This window comes from Homo sapiens, chromosome 1 (assembly GCF_000001405.40).
Source record: "Homo sapiens chromosome 1, GRCh38.p14 Primary Assembly".
Lineage (NCBI taxonomy): Eukaryota > Metazoa > Chordata > Mammalia > Primates > Hominidae > Homo > Homo sapiens.
Genome location: NC_000001.11, coordinates 176,043,491 through 176,067,435, shown reverse-complemented (window position 1 = coordinate 176,067,435; position 23,945 = coordinate 176,043,491). Strand labels below are relative to the sequence as shown.

At 37.1% G+C, this 23,945-nt stretch overlaps 1 protein-coding gene across 31 annotated transcripts in view; it reads left to right on the top strand.

The window, feature by feature from the left end:
- Window positions 1-23,945, top strand: part of COP1 (COP1 E3 ubiquitin ligase) — a 262,456-nt gene that overhangs the window by 139,851 nt on the left and 98,660 nt on the right. For all 31 annotated transcript variants that reach the window (XM_047427793.1, XM_047427798.1, NM_001286644.2 and 28 more), the window contains 2 exons: window positions 21,112-21,255; window positions 23,618-23,726. In XM_047427793.1, coding sequence (XP_047283749.1) covers window positions 21,112-21,255; window positions 23,618-23,726 — 253 coding nt within the window. The remainder of the gene's footprint in view (window positions 1-21,111; window positions 21,256-23,617; window positions 23,727-23,945) is intronic.

Genomic DNA, 23,945 nt, shown 5'->3' with positions numbered 1-23,945 from the left:
ATCCAGTTGCTGTGTCTCTGCCCACTAGGGTGTCGGAGTTTTTATAGGTGCAGGATGGGGGCGCGGTGGGCCAGAGTGGTCTTGGAAAATGCAACATTTGAGCACAAAAACAGAAATGCTTGTCCTCACCTTAGTCCGTGGGCACAGGCCTGGGGTTGGAGTCCTCACCAGGGACCCAGACCTTCTCCTCCCAGCACTTCACTGCCCCTCTCCCATATCAGTTTGTTACAATTTGTACCTACATTGACACATTATTATCACCCAAAGTCTACATGAGGGGGTCACTCTTAGTATTGTATATTCTATGGGTTTGGACTAATATATGGCATATATCTACCATTATAATATCATACTTTTTATAATTTCTTATATTTATACTTTGTGAATCAATGAAAATAGAGTTAAAAACCATTTAGTTTCTAGAGCTTCTTGCCCAATAAGTTGTCATATGAGTGGGTTGCATGTGTACCAGGATACTTATTCCATCTGTCCCTGGGAAAGTTGGATAGGGGCTAGGTCTGGAAAACAGCTGGTAACCAACTGTTCCAAGGGCGGAGGGGATCAATCACATGTAACTTACTTGTCTTAGTGCTGAACATTAATAGAGAAACTCTAGTTTAGAGACCAGAACAAAGGAAATATCTTTGTTTTTCTCAAAAAAAGCTGTTCTAGTTATCATTTTTTGGTGAAGGAATTTCATAGTGAAATTTGAGATTGAATTCATTAATGTTTAAAATAACTGATATTTCATCTTGGTGATTGACCTGCAGAGCTGGTCTTTAAAAGGAAACATACTCTTACTCTGCTGGAGAACCATCTCACCTTGACGTAAAAGTCAGCAGCCACTGGGCTGCCAGTAAATAACACAAACATTTTGTAGGATTGAGAGGGAAGTTTTGGACTTTAAAAAATTTGATCTCCTCATTTATTCTTTTTTACGCTTTTTACAATTAGGATAAAATGGGCAAAGTCTTTGCCCATTTTATCACTGGAAGGAGTTTAGTAGGAGTTCACTTTACTATTTAGGAGAGGAAAAGCTTTTCTGTACCCTCTCAGGTTCAGTGGCTGGGCCTGTGGAATAAGTTGACAACAAATTGACAGGAGAAAAGGCACAAACACTTATTTGATGTTGAAAGTTTTACATGACATGGGGCATGGGGGCTGAAGAGGTGAGGGAGGTTCATAAAAGAAGGGAGAACCCCAAAGAAATGGCTAGGCTTAGAGGCTTTTATATCATTTGAACAAAGGGCAATAAAGAGAAGTAACAAGAGAAAGGAAAGGGACTTTGAGCTTCTAGGGTCAACACATATATGGGGAAACTGATGGTAGATATGGGCTTCTTAGTCTTGAAAGACTTATGTAGATTCTTTTTTGGTGCCATCTCATCTTGTGATAAAATCATTATCCCCCGGCCAGGTGCGGTGGCTCATGCCTGTAATCCCAGAACTTTGGGAGGCCGAGGCAGGTGTTTGAGGTCAGGAGTTTGAGGTCACCAGGTCAGGAGTTTTGAGATCGGCCTGGCCAGCATGATGAAACCTCATCTCTACTAAAAATACAAAAATTAGCCAAGCATGGTGGTGCGCACCTGTAATCCCAGCTACTCAGGAGGCTCAGGCAGGAGAATTGCTTGAACCCAGGGGGTGGAGGTTGCAGTGAGCCAAGATTGCGCCACTGCACTCCAACCTAGGCAACGGAGCAAGACTCCGTCTGAAAAAAAAAAAAAAAAAAAAATCATTATCCCCTTCCTGGTACAGGAAGTGGAGTGGGGGAAACACTTTCCCAAAAGGAGTTTATGTTCTGCTTTCAGGCAAATAGGGGAGGACAGAAAGCTCATCCTATGTTTACTCTTTTTCCATTGTCCTCAGCTCAAAAGAATTTTTATGGCAGAGTGACATATTTTGGGGTGGCAAGTTTTGATCCCTTACAACTGCAACTTACAAATAACTGATGTCATTATATGTAAAACTTAATCTGGTGACAAGTGTTTTATAACATAAATATTTGACAAAGAGAGCTTCAATTCACCGTTTGTCCTAGGTATGATAACTTCCCCATATATTGCTTCCATCAGACATTTTTAGACATTTAAAACTTCTTAGTAAGATAGGACATTACTGTAAGAGCATTTGTCTGCATATACTATTTCAGTTTTTTTCCCCTTTGTCTGAGTTAATTTCTCTATCTACTGTTCACAGTAAAGAGTTCCATAACATACTAACACTTGACCTAAACAGATTTTAACCTCTGGCAGTCTCATCTGACTGAAACACAGTAAGTAAGGCTTACATAAAATAAAAAGGCACTGGAATAAAATGAATGCCATTAAATTAATGACTAAAACTCATATTAGTTTATTGGGTTATTTCAGGGCTATTGACTTACGTACAACTTCTATAATCTTAGTTATATGGTTTGTGTCTCTCTAAATTATAAAGGGGAGAGTAATTGCAATAGGTAGGTTAAACGGCAACAGCAAGAAGTGGTAGCTACTACAAGCTTGAAAAAGGGAAGGAGGCCAGGCATGGTGGCTCACGCTTAAAATCCTAAGCTTTAGGAGGCTGAGGCAGGCAGATTGCTTGAGCCCAGGAGCTCGAGACCAGTCTGGGCAACATGGTGAAACTCCATCTCTACAAAAAATGCAAAAATTGGCTGGGCCCAGGAGGCTGAGGCAGGGGCATCGATTGAGTCTGGGAGGTCGAGGCTGCAGTGAGCCATGATCACACCAGTGAACCCCAGCCTGGGCGACAGAGCAAGACACCATCTCAAAAAAAAAGAAAGAAAACGGGGAAAGAAACCGTAACACTGCGGATGGAGCTCAAAAAGTAAAGCTGCTTATATTAATTTCATATGAGGTCAAATGGTTTTAGATATTTTAATACACCCTGAGATCATTGAGGTGTATTAGAGTGTGGTAACTAATGTTGATAGGGCTATTCACATTACTGTGTTCAGTGTATTCATATGAAGGTAGTAAAGAATGTATTACATTTGACAAATTATACTCAGGGATTCAAAAGTTGGTTCCAGAATTTACTGAACTAATATTTTTGAGCATATATTGTCTTAGAGCAGTATATACATATGTCCTGGAAATGCTAGTGTGTCCATTAGCCTTTAAAAATAATATTAAAAATATATATCCTTATTTATGTAAATGAAATATGACAAATTTTTTGGCAATTTTTCAGTTTTTTGGAATTGTAAGTTTTCAAACTTTACATTGGGTTTGTTTTTATGCAAGGAAGGTCATTTTGATTGAGAAAAGTAAGAGCTTTTTTAAAATCAGCAAACTATGGACCATGGGCCAAATTTGACCCATTACCTAGTTTTGAAAGATCCGTCAGGTACAGATGGTTTTTATACTTTTAATTGGTTAAAAAAGATTTGTTTAGGCTCTAAGGATGTACTGCTACACTTGATTAAACTTCTGTCATATTTTCAGACATCAAAGTGTGTCTGTGAAAGAAAGTGGCTTTTGTCGGATTTTCTGATCTATTTGTGATGAGTGGCTATTTTATGTTTTATCATTACTTACTTAACAGTAATAACCTGTCACTTGGCCTGTCATATAGTAGACAATCCATCATTGGTTTAACGAGAGCTACAGGTTTTATTTACATAATAACAAGTTCTGGTATGTATAGCAGAAAGTTTCCTATTTGTGTATTTTTACAATTATTTATCAAACAGAGCCCCCCAAAAATGCCCTGAAATAAGACAAAAGCTAACCTATGTTTAGGCAACTTAGCTATATCATACTAACATTGAAACAGGGCTGTTTTTCTACCACTAATGATGTTTGGTTGTGTTCACATTCTCTCCTCTTCTTCTCTTCTCCCCATCCACATCAATAGGTGATTTTGTGGATAACTTGTGGAGTTATAAAACTTGATGCTTTGATCTGTGCTTGAGAGAGATTAATTTGCAGGATGTTTTACATAATTTAAGAAATATAAAATCACAAGTTGGATAGTTTTTAAAATCACCTTTACTGAAGTATAATTTATATACAATAAAGCATAAAGTTTGAATTTTGATAGTTGTGTTAATGACAGTCAAAACATAAAACATTTTCGGGCCAGGCGCGGTGGCTCATGCCTGTAATCCCAGCACTTTGGGAGGCCGAGGCGGGTGGATCATGAGGTCAGGAGATCGAGACCATCCTGGCTAACAAGGTGAAACCCCGTCTCTACTAAAAATACAAAAAAATTAGCCAGGCGCGGTGGCGGGCGCCTGTAGTCCCAGCTACTCGGGAGGCTGAGGCAGGAGAATGGCGTGAACCCAGGAAGCGGAGCTTGCAGTGAGCCGAGATTGCGCCACTGCAGTCCGCAGTCCGGCCTGGGCGACAGAGCGAGACTCCGTCTCAAAAAAAAAAAAAAAAAAAAAAACATTTTCAAAAATTTTCTCTTCCACCACTTGCAGTTAATTCCACCCCTCCTTCAAACTCCTGCCACAGGCAACTATTTATCTGCTTTCTGTCACTATACAATAATTCAACCATTTAAAAATTTCTTATAAGTGGAACCATACAGTATATGTTCTTTTGTGTCTAGCTTATTTCGCCCAGCTTGTTTTTGAGATTCATTGATGTTGCTGCCCATATTAGTAATTTATTTACTTATTGAGTAGTATTTTATTGTCTAAATATTCTACAGTTTATTCATTTGAATAATTGTACAGTTTATTTATTTGAATAAACTTGTCTGGGTTTTAGTTTGTTACTATTATGAATAAAGTAATGAGTATTCATATACAAGTCATTTTGGATATTAATGTTTATATTTATTTCTTTGGGTGAATACCTGAAATTGGAATTGCTGTGCTGTATGGTTAGGATGTGTTTAACATTTTAAGAAGCTGCCAAAATGATTTTTAAAGTGGTTGGATTGTTTTACCACTTTAATCAGCAGTTTAAAAAATTCCAGTTCTAAATCCTCAGCAATTCTTAGCATTGTTATTTTTTTTAAATATCAGGCATTTTATTAATGGGTATGTAATGGCATTTTCTCATTGTTTTTCTATGCTTTTCCCTTATCACTAGTGGTGTTTAATGCACTTATTAACTATTTGTATATCTTTTGTGAATTGTCTATTCAAATCTTTTGGCCAGTATTTAAAAATTCAGGTCTTTCTTGGCCGGGCTCAGTGGCTCATGCCTGTAATCCCAGCACATTGGGAGACTGAGGCGGGCAGATCACAAGGTCAGGAGATCGAGACCATCCTGGCTAACATGGTGAAACCCCATCTCTACTAAAAACACAAAAAAAATTATCCAGGCGTGCTGGCGGGCGCCTGTAGTCCCAGCTACTCGGGAGGCTGAGGCAGGAGAATGACGTGAACCTGGAAAGGCAGAGATTGCAGTGAGCCCAGATTGCACCACTGCACTCCAGCCTGGGCGATAGAGTGAGATGCCGTCTCCAAAAACAATAATAATAATAATCAGGTCTTTCTCTTGTTTAGTGATGAGAATTCCTTTTATATTATGGATATAAGTTCTTTGTCAGATACATGTGTTATCAGAATTTTCTTCCTTGCCTGTGGCTCATCTTTGTATTTTCTTAATAGTGTCTTTCAAGGAACATGAGTGATACTTAATTTTGATGAATTCCAGTTCATCCATTTTTAAAATTTTTCTATCCTGTAGAAATGTTTCTGCCCCGAAGATTTTTCTTCTATATTTTCTTCTATCATTGTAATAACTTTAGCTTTTACTTACAGGCTTATAATCTATTTCAAGTTATTTTTTATTTAGATTGTGAGGTAATGGTTTAGTTTCATTTTTTCTTTTTCTTTTTCTTTTTTTTATTTTGAGACGGAGTTTCACTCTTGCTGCCCAGGCTGGAGTTCAATGGCGTGATCACGGCTGACTGCAACCTCTGCCTCCGGGGTTCAAGTGATTCTCCTGCCTCAGCCACCTGAGTAGCTGGGATTACAGGCGCACGCCACCATGCCTAGTGAATTTTGTATTTTTAGTAGAGATAAGGTGTTTCCATGTTGGTCAGGCTGATCTCGAACTCCTGACCTCAGGTGATCTGCCCACCTCGGCCTCCCAAGTGCTGGGATTACAGGCGTGAGCCACCATGCCTAGCCGAGGTTCAGTTTTTTCCTGCCAGTATAGAGATACCCACTTGTTCCTAGCATCATTTGATCAAAAGATAACCTTTTCCTGTTGGCATCTTTGTTTAAAATGAATTGACTGTATATATGTGAGTCTACTTAACTGTCTGTTCTGTTGTATTGATCTGTATGTCTCTTTGTTTAAAATGAATTGACTGTATATATGTGAGTCTACTTAACTGTCTGTTCTGTTGTATTGATCTGTATGTCTCCTCTTAGGCCAGTACCATACTGTCATGATTACTGTAGTTTTATAACAAGGCTTGAAATTAGGTAATATAAGTTCTCCGTCTTTGTTACTCTTTTCAAAAGTTATACTGGCTAGTATAAGTCCCTTACATTTCCATGTACATTTTAGAACAGGAGCTCTTCTTTTTTTTCTTGCTGCAATGGTTTGAAGGGATTTATCTGGTAAAACTCACATTTTTTAAAATATTTTTCTTCAGTGTTTTTTACTACTTATTTTTATAAGAAACACAAAATGGGTTTCTGATTTTTTAAGTCTGCTGTGTTAACTGATATTTTGGGGACACATTTTTAAATATACATGATGAAATATTCTTCTAAACTGTAAATTTTTGCTCCACGTTAGTCCTTGGTAGGATTAAATGGTTTCTTTATATCATAGTTTTAAGGTTTCCTGATGAAACATCACAGCAGTGACATTACTGATTTAATATTGTGATCCTATTGGTTGCTTTGTAAATACTACCAGAGAACACAGAACTGAGAAATTAGATGTATTTTATTTTGCAGTTTCAAAAGTTAAGAATTGAAATTTTAGCTTCATATGATTCTCTGTTGAGTCTCTGTTGTACTTTTACTAAACACACATTTCAAAGTGTTTACTAAAAACATTTTAAAGAGGACAAAATGTCGTAGTAACTTTGGGGACAAAAATATATTTTCTTTTTCAGCTCTTGTTATTTTCTCTACTAGATGTTGTTCTGAATGAACAAAAGTTGATATTAAGTATATTGATTTTAAAGGGCATCTTTAAGTGCTTTAAGGAGAAAGACATTTTATCACAAAATAAACACTTGATATTCACAAAAGTTTTTCAGAATATAGTCTATCAGGTAGTGTATTTATTTGTTTTAGCTATTCAATGATAGCCAGAGGGAATAAGAAAGTAAATTTTTTTAAAGTAGTTGTTTTAAAGCAAGATCTTGAGGTTTTATGGAATTCAAACAAAATGAGCCACCTAATAAAAATAATAGAATAAAAATATGCATAGACTTTAAAATGTGGCTTCAATTTAGTGCCTATGGAATAAAGTCTGTCCATTAATTCAGAATAAGGTCAGCAATTATCTAGCAGGTTGCTATTAAAAAAACAGTTTAAGGTCAGCAAACTAATACCTGCGAGTCAAATTTCAACTCATTGCTTGACTTTGTAACAACTAAGAATATTTTTTACATTTGCAAAGGTTGAAAAAAAATACAAAGGATAATACTTTGTGACATGTGAAAATTCAGATTCTAGTGTTCATAAATGAAGTTTTGTTGGAACCACTGACGCTGTTCTGACATAAAATTAATAGATATCAATGGCTCACACCTGTAATCCTAGCACTTTGGGAGGCTGAGGCAGGTGGATCACGAGGTCAGGAGTTCGAGACCGGCCTGACTAACATGGTGAAACCCCGTCTCTACTAAAAATACAAAAATAAGCCAGGTGTGGTGGTGTGCACCTATAATCTCAGCTACTCAGGAGGCTGAGGCAGGAGAATCACTTGAACCCAGGAGGCAGAGGTTGCAGTGAGCTGAGATCACACCATCACAGTCCAGCCTGGGCAACAGAGTGAGACTCTGTCTCAAAAAAAAAAGAAAGAAAAAAGATTTTGCAAACTCCCTAACTACAAATTTTTAAAAAATTATAGTGTCTTAATTCTAATATAAAGGAGAAATAAAAGGAAAATAAGATGATTTTAATTTGTAAATACTTACCTATTCTGTATGGTTAAAATAAGGAGATGGTCAAATAATAATTTAATGACTCACTTGTTTTATTGCCATACAAAGATAATTTTTTTCTTAGGTTCACAATGCTTAAGAGGGAGAGAATAATGTGAACAAGTTTCATACAGAATACACTTGATAGATGAATTACATTAACCACATAGTGAGTGAGCTCCAAAATTATTAAAGTCTGGTTGCTCAATTAGGATGGAAGCAGGGCTCTGTGGAAAGTAAAGTTTAATTAAACATTAAAGTGTGCTTTTGTGTGAGCACAGCTGAGATCTGCAACCACCTGTAAGGTCCCTTGAAGTTAGAGGGCAGTGCTGGTGTTACAAAGCAAGGCTTCAAAGCTCCAATCCATGTCACAGTCTGAGCATTCAGTCTTCTGAGAAGTGGCTGACAGAGTGAAACTTGACACAGCCTAAGCTCTCAAAGTGTTGTCAAGCTCTTAGGTTTATATATGTTTGAAGTCCAGTAGTTGAAGTCAGTAACTCACATATGGGATCTGAGGAGGCGTGTTACCACATTCCAGAGGGGAGGAGAAGTTTCAGGTTCATATATGGGATCTGATAAGAGGTCACATTCTTTTTTTTTTTTTTTTTTATTGATCATTCTTGGGTGTTTCTCGCAGAGGGGGATTTGGCAGGGTCATAGGACAATAGTGGAGGGAAGGTCAGCAGATAAACAAGTGAACAAAGGTCTCTGGTTTTCCTAGGCAGAGGACCCTGCGGCCTTCCGCAGTGTTTTTGTCCCTGGGTACTTGAGATTAGGGAGTGGTGATGACTCTTAATGAGCATGCTGCCTTCAATCATCTGTTTAACAAAGCACATCTTGCACCGCCCTTAATCCATTTAACCCTGAGTGGACACAGCACATGTTTCAGAGAGCACAGGGTTGGGGGTAAGGTCACAGATCAACAGGATAAGAATTTTTCTTAGTACAGAGCAAAATGAAAAGTCTCCCATGTCTACTTCTTTCTACACAGACACAGCAACCATCCGATTTCTCAATCTTTTCCCCACCTTTCCCCCTTTTCTATTCCACAAAACCGCCATTGTCATCATGGCCCGTTCTCAATGAGCTGTTGGGTACACCTCCCAGACGGGGTGGTGGCCGGGCAGAGGGGCTCCTCACTTCCCAGAAGGGGCGGCTGGGCAGGGGCTGACCCCCCCCCTCCCTACCGGGCGGGGCGGCTGGCCGGGCGGGGGCTGACCCCCCCCCCACCCCACCTCCCTCCCGACGGGGTGGCTGGCCGGGCGGGGGCTGACCTCCCCACCTCCCTCCCGGCCGGGGCGGCTGCCGGGCGGAGGGCCTCCTCACTTCTCAGACGGGGCGGCTGCCGGGCGGAGGGGCTCCTCACCTCTCAGACGGGGCGGCCAGGCAGAGACGCTCCTCATATCCCAGAAGGGGCGGCGGGGCAGAGGTGCTCCCCACATCTCAGAGGATGGGCGGCCGGGCAGAGACGCTCCTCACTTCCTAGATGGGATGGCGGCGGGGAAGAGGCGCTCCTTACTTCCCAGACTGGGCAGCCAGGCAGAGGGGCTCCTCACATCCCAGACGATGGGCGGCCAGGCAGAGACGCTCCTCACTTCCCAGATGGGGTGGCAGCCGGGCAGAGGCTGCAATCTCGGCACTTTGGGAGGCCAAGGCAGGCTGCTGGGAGGTGGAGGTTGTAGCGAGCCGAGATCACGCCACTGCACTCCAGCCTGGGCACCATTGAGCACTGAGTGAACGAGACTCCGTCTGCAATCCCGGCACCTCGGGAGGCCGAGGCTGGCGGATCACTCGCGGTTAGGAGCTGGAGACCAGCCCGGCCAACACAGCGAAACCCCGTCTCCACCAAAAAAATACGAAAACCAATCAGGCGTGGCGGCGCGCGCCTGCAATCGCAGGCACTCGGCAGGCTGAGGCAGGAGAATCAGGCAGGGGGGTTGCAGTGAGCCGAGATGGCAGCAGTACAGTTCAGCTTCCGCTCGGCATCAGAGGGAGATCGTGGAAAGAGAGGGAGAGGGAATCCGTGGGGAGAGGGAGAGGGAGAGGGAGAGGTCACATTCTTGAAGTGGGGAGGGAATACACTCTTAAGTTCTTATTATAGCAAAGCATATCACTCATGTAGCAAACTATATAAATGTTTAGAATCATTTCGGAGCTACATAGCAGGTATACCTGCATTAGACAATATAATGGATAATAAGATTCTTACACCTACTTATAATTAGTAAGTTTGGAATGTTCAGCAAATATTGGAAACGCAGGGGTAGTTTGTCTTTCTATGTAAAATGGATTTCATTTCTATGCTCAGTTAATTATAGGATTTTCATTTGCATAAGGATGAGAAGTATAAATATTTTTGGAGGTATAACGTAGATTGTGAGACAGTGAATATGATGAGTAGGATTGGAAGAGTAAGGGCAAAAATAACTTTATCCTTTGCTCAGAGTAGAAACTTAGTAGATACATTGAATCCTTTATTTCTTTCTGTAGTAATTAATAAAGTGTTTGTAGTCACTAGACAGAAATACTACAATTCCCATTTAGGAGAATAACACAGAAAACAAAAGAAAGAAATCAGATGGTCAAATACTTTAATTAAAAATGTGATTGAAACAATATATATCACAAAATAAGATGACAGATACAAAAGTAAACGTGATTGATAAATTTAAATAGGCTAAACTTCCTGGCAATAAGAAAATATTTTTATAGTAGATTATAACATAAACCACAAATCAGTGCTTGTATAGACGAGTTCTGAAAACTTCAAACTGTGAAAGTTGAAAGTAAGGTTTAATTCAGGCTAGAAAGCATTAGATCAATCTCTCTTTGTCTTACACACACACACACACGCCCCATTATAATGATCAAAGTTCAGTCTGCACTGAAGTTTAAGTCTAATTGTAAGTATCTTTATATATTAAAAAATCCCTGTGTTAACTGTAAGACAAAATAAACACATTTAGTGGTATGAGACTTTAAATTAAATCAGATCTTAGTCCATGACAGATTAAGTGCACAAAAAATAAATGTTAATAAAACTGTAGAAGCCCTAAATAACATAATTAACAAACTAGAACACATATACAAACATTTATAAAGAATATACCTTCTTTTAAATTGTCCATGGAACATCAGAAAATGTAAAGAATCTAGATCATATACCAAATCTCAAATTACAGAAAATAAAAATTAACATTTTCTGATCACAACACAGTAAGATCAAACATTTATTACAAACTTAGAAAACAGGAAAAATATACCACACGGAAATTTAATAGCTTTTTTGGCAACGCTGGGATCAAAATGGAAATCAAACCAGTATGATGAAATTTCTGTGTATCAGAACTTATGGGACATAGCTAAAAGTGCCCAGAATAAAACTCCTTACTCTAAAGGAATTAACCTACTCAAAAAGGAATTAACTGAAAAAGTAATGATAAATAAGATGATATAAAACAATTTAATTAAACAACCAAGCAAAGAAATTAGAGAAAGAACAAAGTAAACCTAAATAAAATAGAAGGAAATTAAATAAATATAAAAATAAGAATACATTATGAAAAAACAATTACTAAATCAATTCATGAGCTTTTAAAAACAAAAGATGAAAATTGTTAGTCAACCTAATCAGGTAAACCTGGAAGAAATTACTAGATGTTTGGCAGGGGATTCAGAAACTCAATTTTGGACGGGTTAACTATGCCTATCAGGTTAAAATTGGAGCTGTCAACTAGACATGAGGCAGTAGTGTAGAGAGAGGTCTGGTTTGGGAGACAAACACTTGATAGTCATCAGTGTACTATATAGATTGAAAGTCATGAGACTATATGAGATCACCAAAGAAATCCAGGAAGATAAAAAGATGGTGAGGTACAAGAGCTTAGCTTAGCTCTGAGATGCTTTTGTTTTGTTTTGTTTATTTTTTGAGATGGAGTTTCACTTTTGTTGCCCAGGCTGGAGTTCAGTGGTGCGATCTCGGCTTACTGCAACCTCCTCTTCCCGGGTTTAAGCGATTCTCCTGCCTCAGCCTCCTGAGTAGCTGGGATTACAGGTGCCTGCCACCATGCACAGCTAATTTTTTGTATTTTTGGTAGAGGCTGGATTTCATCGTGTTGGCCAGGCTGGTCTCAAAGTCCTGACCTCAGGTTATCCACCTGTCTCGGCCTCCCGAAGTGATGGGATTACAGGCTTGAGCCACTGCACCCAGCCTGGGATGCTTTATTATCAAAGTGAAGATGAGGAGGAATGACCAAAGTAGACTGTGATGGAGTTGTCAGTAAGGTAGGAGAAAAATCACTCTATTGTGGAAGAGAGAGTGATCATCAATGTCAGCTATTGTTGATATTTAAGGAAGGTCAGAATTCGGAGTTGACTGCTCTGTTTAGCAACTTAGAGGTCATTATTGACCTTCATACAGCATTTTCAGAGGTGGAGGTAAAAGCTTGATTCCAGTGAGTTAAAGAGAACGAGAGGAGAGGTTATGGAAAACTTTTTTTTGTAAAGTTATGGTATTAGGAAAGCAATAGGATAGTAGCTAAAATAGATATAGGAATATAAGAGGTATTTTGTTTTGTTTTTTACTTGAAAAGGAAGAAAAACATGGAAGCCTTATGGAAAAGATCCAGGATAGATGGAAAAATTGATTGATACAGGAGAGAGGAGGGAAATTTAGGAAACAATCCTTGAGTAGGTAAGCAAGGATGGGACTTACCGCACAAGTATAAATGTTGGTTACATCTAGGAGCACATCGTTCGGAATGACAAGAAAGACCACAGAATATATCAAAATATGTTGGTATAAATACTGATAAGTGGAGGATGTGGTTAGTGGGAGCCTTTGGAAAGTATATCTCCTTGTTCTTTTTATATTTTTCAGTAAACTTAAAAACAGAGTAATTTGGCCGGGTGCAGTGGGTCATTCCTGTAATCCCAGCACTTTGGGAGGCTGAGACGGACAGATCACCTGAGGTCAGGAGTTTGAAACCAGTCTGGCCAACATGGTGAAACCCTGTCTCTACTAAAAATACAAAAATTAGCTGGGCATGGTGGTGCACGCCTGTAATCCCAGCTACTTGGGAGGCTGAGGCAGGAGAATCAGTTTGAACCTGGGAGGCGGAGGTTGCAGTGAGCCGAGATCATGCCCACTGCACCCCAGCCTGGGTGACAGAGTGAGGCACCATCTCAAAAAAAAAAAAAAAAGAATAATTTGCTGAGAGTGATTATGAAGGTATGGGAAATTTGTGAAGAGTAAGAGAAATTATTTAACTTCTTTCAAGAGTGAGTGGATGAGGGTAGTTTCCTGTGAAGTTAGTGTTAAGTGCCTCCTTAAGGATCACTATACCTTAAGGATAGTGATCATGAATTTAAAATGAGACCAGAGAACATGGTTGCATGTTTTTTCTCTAACCATATTCAAGTCTGCCAGTTCAAATGTAGAGTGAGTAGAGAAATTTAACTAGGGTTAGTTTTGCCAGGGAGGTAAAGTACAAAAAATAAGAGAATGAAAATGGTAACAGAGTGCAAAGTTGTGTGAGGGAGTTATATTTACTGGCCATGTAATTTATGTTGGGAAAGAAGAAAGTAAATACATAACAGAGTGAGGAGCAGTGGGTGTAGGTTCCATAGATTTTTAGATCACAATGGCCTTGAAGGATTGTTGGAGACAAGGAATCAACTGGAAAGAATGGAAGTAGTTGTCAGAAAGTGTTATGTCATAAGGTGAAGGAGGGAGTGAAGTTATTGGTAATGAAAAAGTGTTTAGGGTGTGGTCATGGTTGTGTGAAGTGGAAGTGGGCAGAATAAAAGATCTTTGGAGAAGAGGAAGTCAAGAAAACTGATAGACCAGGATATTAATCATCTATATATAGTTATTAAAATAATTAACAATTAGGCAAGGAATAATTTTTAAGAAAATGACAGTGAGCTGAAAGTTAGAATTTCCAAGAACTCGTGGGTTGGTAGAGGAGCATCAAGGACACATATTGGGTGGTATATGTTACAGGAGATTTTGAGCTGGGAGGTTTCAGGGAGAAGAGAGAAAAATGACGAAGAAGCTATGTATAGTAAGCACACTGAATTTACTTCCAGGCCTATTTGAACATGGAATGTGGGAAGACTTTGAGGAAGCAGTATATTCAGGGGAGAGCTGGGTTTCACTTAGAATGAGAAAGCAAGGGGAGCATTTAGGGAAGAAATTGCAATTATTAATGGCTTATCTGGGTGGAGAGAGATTTAGCTTTTACTTAATAGAAAAGTGCACATATTTTTTGACCTAGCACTTCATATTCTAGGTGTATTTAAGAGTACTCTTGCTTATGTGTCAATTGACACATATAGAAGGGGTTTTTTTTTTCCCCAGCATTGTTTAACAGTGAAAGACTAGAAGTGAAATGTTCCTGGTTAAATAATTTGATACATCCAGGCAATGTAAATCTGTGCAACCATTGGAGACAAAAATGAGGTTGCTCTCATATGTGCTGATATGAAATGATGGTCAAAATACTATGGCATGAGGGGGAGAAAAGCAAGTGCAAATCAGTATATATGATGTCATCTCATATGTTTAATTGAAAAAAACCAAATACGTGTATGCGTGTTTATGCATAGGAAACTAGTAAGATGCACAAGTTGAAATTATTGGTTGCCTACAGAGAGGGCAATTGGGTACTTATTTGGCAAGAGTGGGAGGGAGGCTTGCTTTTTTTCTGTATACTTTTTGAACCATTGCCTACATAAATTTTTTTAATGAAATATGTTCTAAGAAAACACTCAAGCCACATTTTGAAGGATCTTCAGTAATAGTTGGAGTCTGAATTTTACATAGTAGTAAATGGGGAGAATTATATGAATAGAGCTGTGTGTTTGGAAATTTATCCTAATTCAGTCTTTAAAATCGATTGGAAGAGGGAAATTTCAGGAGTAGGAGTCTTGATAAGGAGGCTGTTTCAGTAGCCCAGGCCCAATATATACTTCTGTGAATTTCTCAAATACAGTCCTGCATTGCTTAACGATGGAAATACATTCTGAAAAATGTGTCATTAGGCAATTTTTGTTGTGCAAACATCATGGAGTGTACTTAGACATGTAGGTGATATAGTATAGCCTCTTGCTCCTAGACTGCAAACCTACATAGCGTGTTACTGTACTGAATGCTGTAGGTAGCTTTAACACAATGGTATTTGTGTATCTAAATGTAGGATATACCAGATAGAAACTGGTACACGTGTATAGGGCACTTACCATTAATGGACTGGAAGTTACTCTGGGTGAGTCAGTGAGTGAGTGGTGAATGAATGTAAAGGCCTAGGATATTACTGTATATTACTGTAGACTTTATAAACATTGCACACTTTGGCTAGCTAAATTTATCTAAATTTTTTTCTTCAATAATTAACCTTAGCTTACTGTAACCTTTTTATTTTATAACTTAAAAATTTTTTTTTGACTTTGTGATTTTTTTGCAATAACCCTTGGCTAAAAACACACATTGAACAACTATACAAAAATATATCCTTTCTTCATACCCTTTTCTATTTAAAATTTAATTTTAATTTTTTTTATTTGTTTGTTAAAATCTGAGACACAAACACATGTATTAGCCTAGGCCTACATACGGTCACGGTCAACAGAATCACTGTGATCTCTTCCACATCTTGTCTCACTGGAAGGTCTTCAGTGCCAGTAACACACATGGAGCTGTCATCTCCTATGATAAGATCTTCTGGAATACCTCCTGAAGGACCTGCCTGCGGCTGCTTTACAGTTTGTTTGTTTTTTTTTAAAATAAGTAGAAGATATACACTAAAGTAATGATAAATGTATAGTATAGTAAATACACAAACCATTAACAGTTGTTTATTTTCAAGTATATGTACTGTACATTAATTGTGTGTGCTGTACTTTTATACAACTGGCAGCATGGTAGGTTTGTTCACACCATCTTCTCCACAAACCTGAGAATCGTGTTGTTGCACTGCAAGTCATTAAGTTAGGAATTGTTCAGCTTCATTATAATTTGTGGGAACATAAGATGTCCTTAAATAGCACATAACTGTAATGTGTTTTTTTTAACATCTTGGTTTTTTCAGCAGCTATGTTAGTATCCAGCAGATAACTGGCACTCTGGACATTTGATGGCTGAAAATATTCACGGTTCATTCTTTTCTTCGAATGAGCCCCAATAATCATTGCCTCCTGAATTCCTCTATCAATATTTTGTCCTATCATTTGACATTTGCATATATTGTCTGTAATCTCTTCTACTAATTATAAAACCGGTGAGGCTACCTTATTCTTTTTTTTATCCCTTTGTGTTTAAATTGTTGCACAGGCTGAATTATGTGTTATTATCACTATATATAATGTAATGTATATTATTATTCTGTGTTATTATTCTTATTTTGCCTGTGTATATGTTCATTGAAGACCAGCTCATTTGTTCTAATTGAAATTGCAAGTTTGCATGATGATTGAGAGCATAGACTCTGGAACCAGTTGCTTAAATTTGAATTATCTGGTGTATCCGTGGACAAATTACTTAACATTAGTATACCTCAGTTTCTTTATACAGTGGAGATTTGAAGCTTGTATAATTTATGTAAGGTGGTTAAAACAATGCTTGACACATCTCAAGTGTTATGTATGTTATGGAAGTTTCAAGTAGTATTGATTGGAAGAAAGTTGAGTAACATCAATTCTTAATTTACTTTACTTGTGTTTGTATTTTTTTAAAGATCTGCTCATCACTTTTCGTTAAAATGGCCAGTTTCTAAACGTATATTTTGTTTCCTTAAAGTTTTAGTTACCTGCTCTTGAGGCACACTATCATGGTAATGAATGAGAATGAGACCTTTGACAACTGCTCTTACTTTATATTTTAATTTGATATAAGTTGGGCTCTAGCATCCAGGGACACTAATCCACCATGTTTGTTAATACTTATAATTGCAAAAAGATATGAGAGACATTGGAAACACTGACAAAATTCACTGCTTGGGCTTATTGACGGCTTTCATTGCTTTGTGCCGCATTGTACTGGCAGTATGCATTAATCAGCTGTCCTGTGCAGTTTCTTGCCTTGCTGCTTAATCACTTGACTAATGACATTTTTGACAAAGAATACAGCTAGTTTCCTACAGCTGAATTACGTATTTCAGCTGTTGATATAAATCACTCTTTTAACAGTTGAAATGTTTCAAAATGTGAAAGAAAAATGCAATTTATGTCCCCAGAAACACGATTTTTCAAAAGTATACTTGTATGTTGAAATTAAAAACAAATTCTGTGAAATTGAATTTGTCATGCAGTAAATTTTTATAAATCTCTTGTTTTAATTATTACTGCTGACAGTGGATGGCAGAAATGAACGTTGTATAGCAGTAGTAAGACTTAAAGTTTGTTTTTGAATTTAATTGCATAAGCAACATTTCAGTTAATTAGTTTACCTTTTATTTAGTCTCAGCCTAACTAGTCACTGTTTAACTTTTGAAGTACTTTTGCTTGGGTTATCAGATTTCATAATAAAAGTAGTTGAAATATCATACTGTTAATATAAGAGGTCATCTGTTTTGTATTAGTTCTAGAAAGCTTTCTGCACCTGAAAATTACAGTGTTCATTTCAGTTAGTTCATGATCTGTTTTTAGAATCTCATTATGTTCATGTTTGAGAATATATATGATTAAATATGTCAGAGATAGGGAGCAAATGTTTCAGTATCTAGAAGTCCTTAAATCCTGAGTCTTAGTGATGTGGAAGTTCTTCCACTAAAAAAGGTGGTTTGAGGGGGGGGACCTGTTTGTCTTTCTTTCCCTTTTAATCAAAATTTTCTAGAAATAATATTATTCTTTATACTTTTTGATTAATATTTCTATTAAAATCTATTTTTACAGTATAAAAGGATCTTGTTACCCCCAAAATATTTTTAAAAACATACTCTACAGGTTCTTGATACCTTAATATATTAAAAACAAAACATAACCAAAATGTAAGAAAATAATAGCAATGAAATCAAAACAAAAAGTTAACTTTTTAATATGAGAGTTAAGAGTTAGCTAATGTCACTAAATAATAACATGTAGAAAAAAGAGAGAGAGCTGTCTTGAATAACAGGATACCAGCAGAAGAAATAATAGACATATTTAGGTCATCATCTTAATTCTTTTTTTTTTTTTTTTTTTTTTTTTGAGACGGAGTCTCGCTCTGTTGCCCAGGCCGGACTGCGGACTGCAATGGCGCAATCTCGGCTCACTGCAAGCTCCGCTTCCTGGGTTCACGCCATTCTCCTGCCTCAGCCTCCCGAGTAGCTGGGACTACAGGCGCCCGCCACCGCGCCTGGCTAATTTTTTGTATTTTCAGTAGAGACGGGGTTTCACCTTGTTAGCCAGGATGGTCTCGATCTCCTGACCTCATGATCCACCCGCCTCGGCCTCCCAAAGTGCTGGGATTACAGGCGTGAGCCACCGCGCCCGGCCCTTAATTCTTTTGACAGCATTTTTACTTATGTGTCAGTTTTCTCCCTGTAATGTATTTAAGCTATTATTTTGATAGGTTAGTGTTTAAACGTATTATATATGTTAAAACTAATAGTTTAGTAATGGCATACTTTTACTGGCACAACATTGGAATGGTGTTGATTAGCTATGTATATGAGTAGGCGGAGAAAAAGTATTTAGTGATAACTAGTTCACTTGAAGTCTCAGCTATACCAAAACCTCCTAAATTAAAAACAGGATTTCAGTTCTGATAATAACTCTGTCCTTTACCAGATAAAGTAGTATTTCTCCTTCAGTGACATGAGACTATGGGTATAAATTGAGTTGGGATAGATGAATAGTTGTCATCATTATAGTTATGGTGCATTAAAATCCACATGGCAGCAAGTAGTAGCTGAGGCAGCAGTTCAATTGAGGTTGTACAAATAAATCTACTGCATTGCTATAGTATCATACTTTACTGGAGGGAACATTTGCTGAATTGTGCCCTAGTCAGTGACACTTAACTGAATAAATTTTTTTTTTAAATTGGCTGGGCACCATGTCTGACGCCTGAAATCTGTAATCCCAGCACTTTGGGAGGCTGAGGTGGGAGGATTGCTTGAGCCCTGGAGTTCAAGACCAGCCCAGGCGACATAGTGAGACCCCATCTCTGTAAAAAAAAAAAAAAAAAAGAATTTTAATTCTTTAAAAAATTATATAAAATTAAGGAAGCATTTAAAGCTGTAAAGAAAAGTGGGCGTATCAATGTGTGTCTTTAAGGGAAATAGTCCTTGTTGTTGTTGTAGTTGTTTTTTAAGACAGGGTCTTGCTGTGTCACCCAGGCTGGAGTGCAGTGGCACAGTCATGGCTTACTGCAGCTTCAAATTCCTGGGTTCAAGCAGTCCTCCCACCTCAGCCTCCCAAGTCTCTGGAGACAAGAACCCATCACTATGCCTCACTAATTGTTTCATTTTTTTGTAGCGATCGGGTCTCACTATGTTGCCAGGCTGGTCTCAAACTCCTGGACTCAAGGGATCCTCCCACCTCGGTCTCTCAGAGTGCTGGGATTGCAGGCATGAGCCACCGAACCCAGCCTGAAATATTCTTAATGTGTCTTTTTCTTACTTACCATCATCAGTTCAGCAAGCTTCTTAATAAATCATTAATCATTAACTGTTCTGTGAATGGATATTAAGAAAATGGATGTTTGTATTTTTGTATGTAGGTGTTTGTATTTTGTGCATTAAATGAATGCTTAATAGATACAGAGCACTAGCTAGGCATTTTGAGAGAAGAAACACACATACATAGATATTGAAGATACATTCATACACATAGATTTTAAACCTTTAAACCTTTAGCCTTTACACTTTGAGTTTTACATTAAGAGCTTTGATCTGTAATAAAGCATAGTAATTATTAGCACCAGCTCTGAAACCAGACTACCTTGTGTTTGAATCCCACCTCAGCCACTTACAGATTGACTAACTTTGGGCAATTTACCTCACCTCTAATCTTCATTTTCTCATCTGTAAAATGTAGATAATAATAATACATATATCACAGGTTGTTATGAGGACTAAATGAGGTAATACATGCAAAATGTTTTAGTAAGTGAATGATTAATGAATATTAGGTATTATTGTGTAATTAATTGTAGATCAGTGAGAATTCTTATCGCTAAACCTCTAGAAAAGATGCTTAAATCATATTGAGGAATAATGTATGTGATGATTCATTTCAACTTTTACTACCTTTGGGCTAATTAGATTTCCAGCTGGTTATGTAACAACTGTGTTTAGGCTGCAAGTTCTGTAAAAGCGAGTATGATCTTGTACTTGCTTTCAAATAGCTTGTTTTGGAGCTTATATAAAAATGATCAGCAAGAGAGGAGTGAATAACGCTGAAGGAAAGGAGATTATTTATTTATTTATTTATTTAACCTCTTTTGTGATATGAGGAATGTGTATTGGGGTTTTATAATTCAGAGAGATATTTGGGGAGGGGGATTAGGTATGGATTTGGGGAAAAGTAATGATAATTCAGTGGTTCTGTTATATGTATTCCATCCCCTTGTCATCACCCAATTGCTTCAGTAATTCAAATTATATACTAATTTATTTATTAAAAATAAAATTTAATATTGTGAAATTCTACTACCTCCACAAAATGGCAGGGAAATAAGTAGAATGTATGGAAAAATTAGTTGATAATTGTCTTTTGGCATACTTTTAGTATATCAAATGATTCACGCCATTAAATCTTTCTCAGTAAGCTGTAATATGGTTATTAGAACTGAATGAAAAGCATGTCAGGTGTCTTGGAACAAAAGTACACCTGTGCACAATTGTGTAGATATACAAATGTATATATTAAAAGTTTTATATTACACAAATCTCAACAACTTTTAATTTGATATGTGTTGATTACTTAATCTGGATATGAGGTCTAGTACAATTTGAAGGTATTTAAAGTAGATCTTTTATCCTTGTAGACCGAATTACTTTAGAAATAGAAAATAGCAAATTCTGAAATGTTGTCATTACATACTTTTTCCCCTTAGTATTGAATTTGACCGGGATTGTGACTATTTTGCGATTGCTGGAGTTACAAAGAAGATTAAAGTCTATGAATATGACACTGTCATCCAGGATGCAGTGGATATTCATTACCCTGAGAATGAAATGACCTGCAATTCGAAAATCAGGTATTTACATTATTTTCTTGACATGATGCAGTATAGATGTAACAATTTGCATATGTAATTATCATGAGATTATTTTACCTTTGCATGACACTTTTTACTCATGGTGAACACTATTATTGTACTATGTATACAGAGTATATATTATTACTTATATCATCTTTCTTACAGATATTGGTTGCTTTTTTCTTGTGAGGTTAGCCTTTTTTTTTTTTCTGGTTGCCAAATTAAAGTTCTTCTTTCACTTAATCAAATAAAGGTCTTTGTTGGACATGGTTGTTGGAGACTCTATGGAGTACTGAATGAGGATTAATGTAGCTTATGAATAGTATTTGAACATCAGGAATTTTTCCCCTAGCCTGCACATATCTCAACATATTAGAATTGTTTCTAGTTTTAAGAATTTTTTTTACAAGAATATTCTGCTTTTCACTGAAGGAATGGTGTTTATGTTTTCTGTATTAGAGATTATACTTTATAAGCAGTGCTTTTCAAACCTAAAATACTCTTAAACACTAACAGTATGTTAAGACTCTACTCCTGATCTGCTCCCCAAAAAATCTCAGAAGAATTCTAGAATCTGCTTTTTTTTTTTTTTTTTTCCTTCTAAACAAGCTTCCCAAGCTGTTCTCATGAGCACTGGCTTTAAAAGAGAATTATATGAGGAAATCATCTAATAATAACTTTGTATAGAACTTTGAACATTTTCAAAATAGCCATCCTTGAACCTTTTTTATCTTTAATGAATGGCATACATAGTATGTTTGTTACAGTCTTTGTATAATTTATTTGTTATAACTTTCTTTTTTCTAGTTCATTTATAAAAATACTATATCGATAATTGGTGAGCTTCCCCATTCATTTGTGGCACTCATCATTGAGAATCTGTTATAGTTTATGTCCTAAGTGAAGAGGATATAACATGAATTAGATACAAGTTTATTGAATTCTTATATATCAGGCATTATCCTAAGTGCTTGGTCTTTAGCAGACCTATGAAATAGTTACCATTATTGCTCCATTTTATACAAAGAAAGCTGAGCACAGGAAGGTAAATAACCTGCCTAAGATTATACACCTGCTATATAGAGGAGCCAGGATTCAGACTGAAGTAGTTTGGTTCTAGAGTCTGTGCCCTTAAACATTTCCTGCTCCTTATTTATAAAATGGAGGTCACAATAGTAATACTTATTTAATAGGATTGTACTTTTAAAAAATCCCCATAATGCACTCAGAACAACACTTGGCCCATGGCAAGTACTCATAATATATTACATAATGAAAACGTGGATTAGAAAGTTTAAATGTGCTGTCTACCTGTTCTGTATTTGTATGTGTAAAAATGTGCAATACTTCCTGATATATTGGAATAAATGGTGAAAGCGCTCAAGGCTGAAAGCTGTGGGCCTGGGGCTGAAAGGATCAATACCTAAGGATGCCTAAAATAGATTCGGAGCACATCTACTGTGAAAGTGTACTAAATTAGCCAGAGCCACAGCTAATAAGTAACAGATCTGGAATTTGAACTCAAGTCTACCTAAATTCAAAATGTGTCTCTTAATTGTTCCAGATAATTTCTACCAGAAATTCTAATTAAGTATATTTAAAAATGCAAATAAACTCTTCCAGTCTCTGGAATTTAGCATCAATGCAACTAGTAGAAAGCAAAAGACCTTGTGTTCATGTCTTAGAAGTTACCTACATTAACTGCCTTCTAAGTAACTTCTTCCATAATATGCATTCCCTTTACTATATGCGTGATGCAGATATGTATCTCAGCAGAAGTTTTTAGATGTTGTAGACTTCTGGAGTACTTGAGAATAGCCAAAACCATAAATGATAAAAGTTTGATTCTAACTTTTAGATGCTTTTAATTGGAATTTTAGTCATAAGTTATAATTAGTCAAGTCAAGACTTTTGGGATGTAAATACAGAAACCCAATTCACTGTAGTTTATTTGGCTTATATGATTTGGCACAACTGGATCCAGGGGGTTAAACAGTCTCATCAGGTCTGTCATTCTGCCATGGTATGCCTTGAGCCCTCTGGATAGTATCACCTTCACTGATAGACATCGTTTCCTCATGTATCAAAGATGGCCAGTGATAGCTCTAGGCTCACATCCATCTTAACAGCTAGTGATCACAGTAAAAGGTGGTTAGGGTCATTACTTGTTAATTTTTATTTTTAAAATTTCAAAATTATTGGTATGTCTTTTCCCAGGTATGTTGTGGGCAGAATAATGATTGTGAACTGATAGAGACCATTTTAAAATAGTGCAAATCTTTCTGAACACATTAAAATTATTTTTATCCCATTGTTATTTATTTTTATGTAAAGTAACTTTTAACTGTATTTCTTTCAGCTGTATCAGTTGGAGTAGTTACCATAAGAACCTGTTAGCTAGCAGTGATTATGAAGGCACTGTTATTTTATGGGATGGATTCACAGGACAGAGGTCAAAGGTCTATCAGGTAAATAAGGGTACTAGTTACATGTTATATGAATCATACATTTGGTTTGTTAAAACTTTTAGAACTTCATGTGCCTTATAATTACAGATTTGAAGTCACTATTTAGTATTTTTTATACCTGTGTAACACCTATGCAATACCAAATGCTTTTTTTTCCTGTCTCCCACTTTTGGTACCATATGCTTTTCCAAAGCATTTCTTCAGACTTCGGTCTTTATG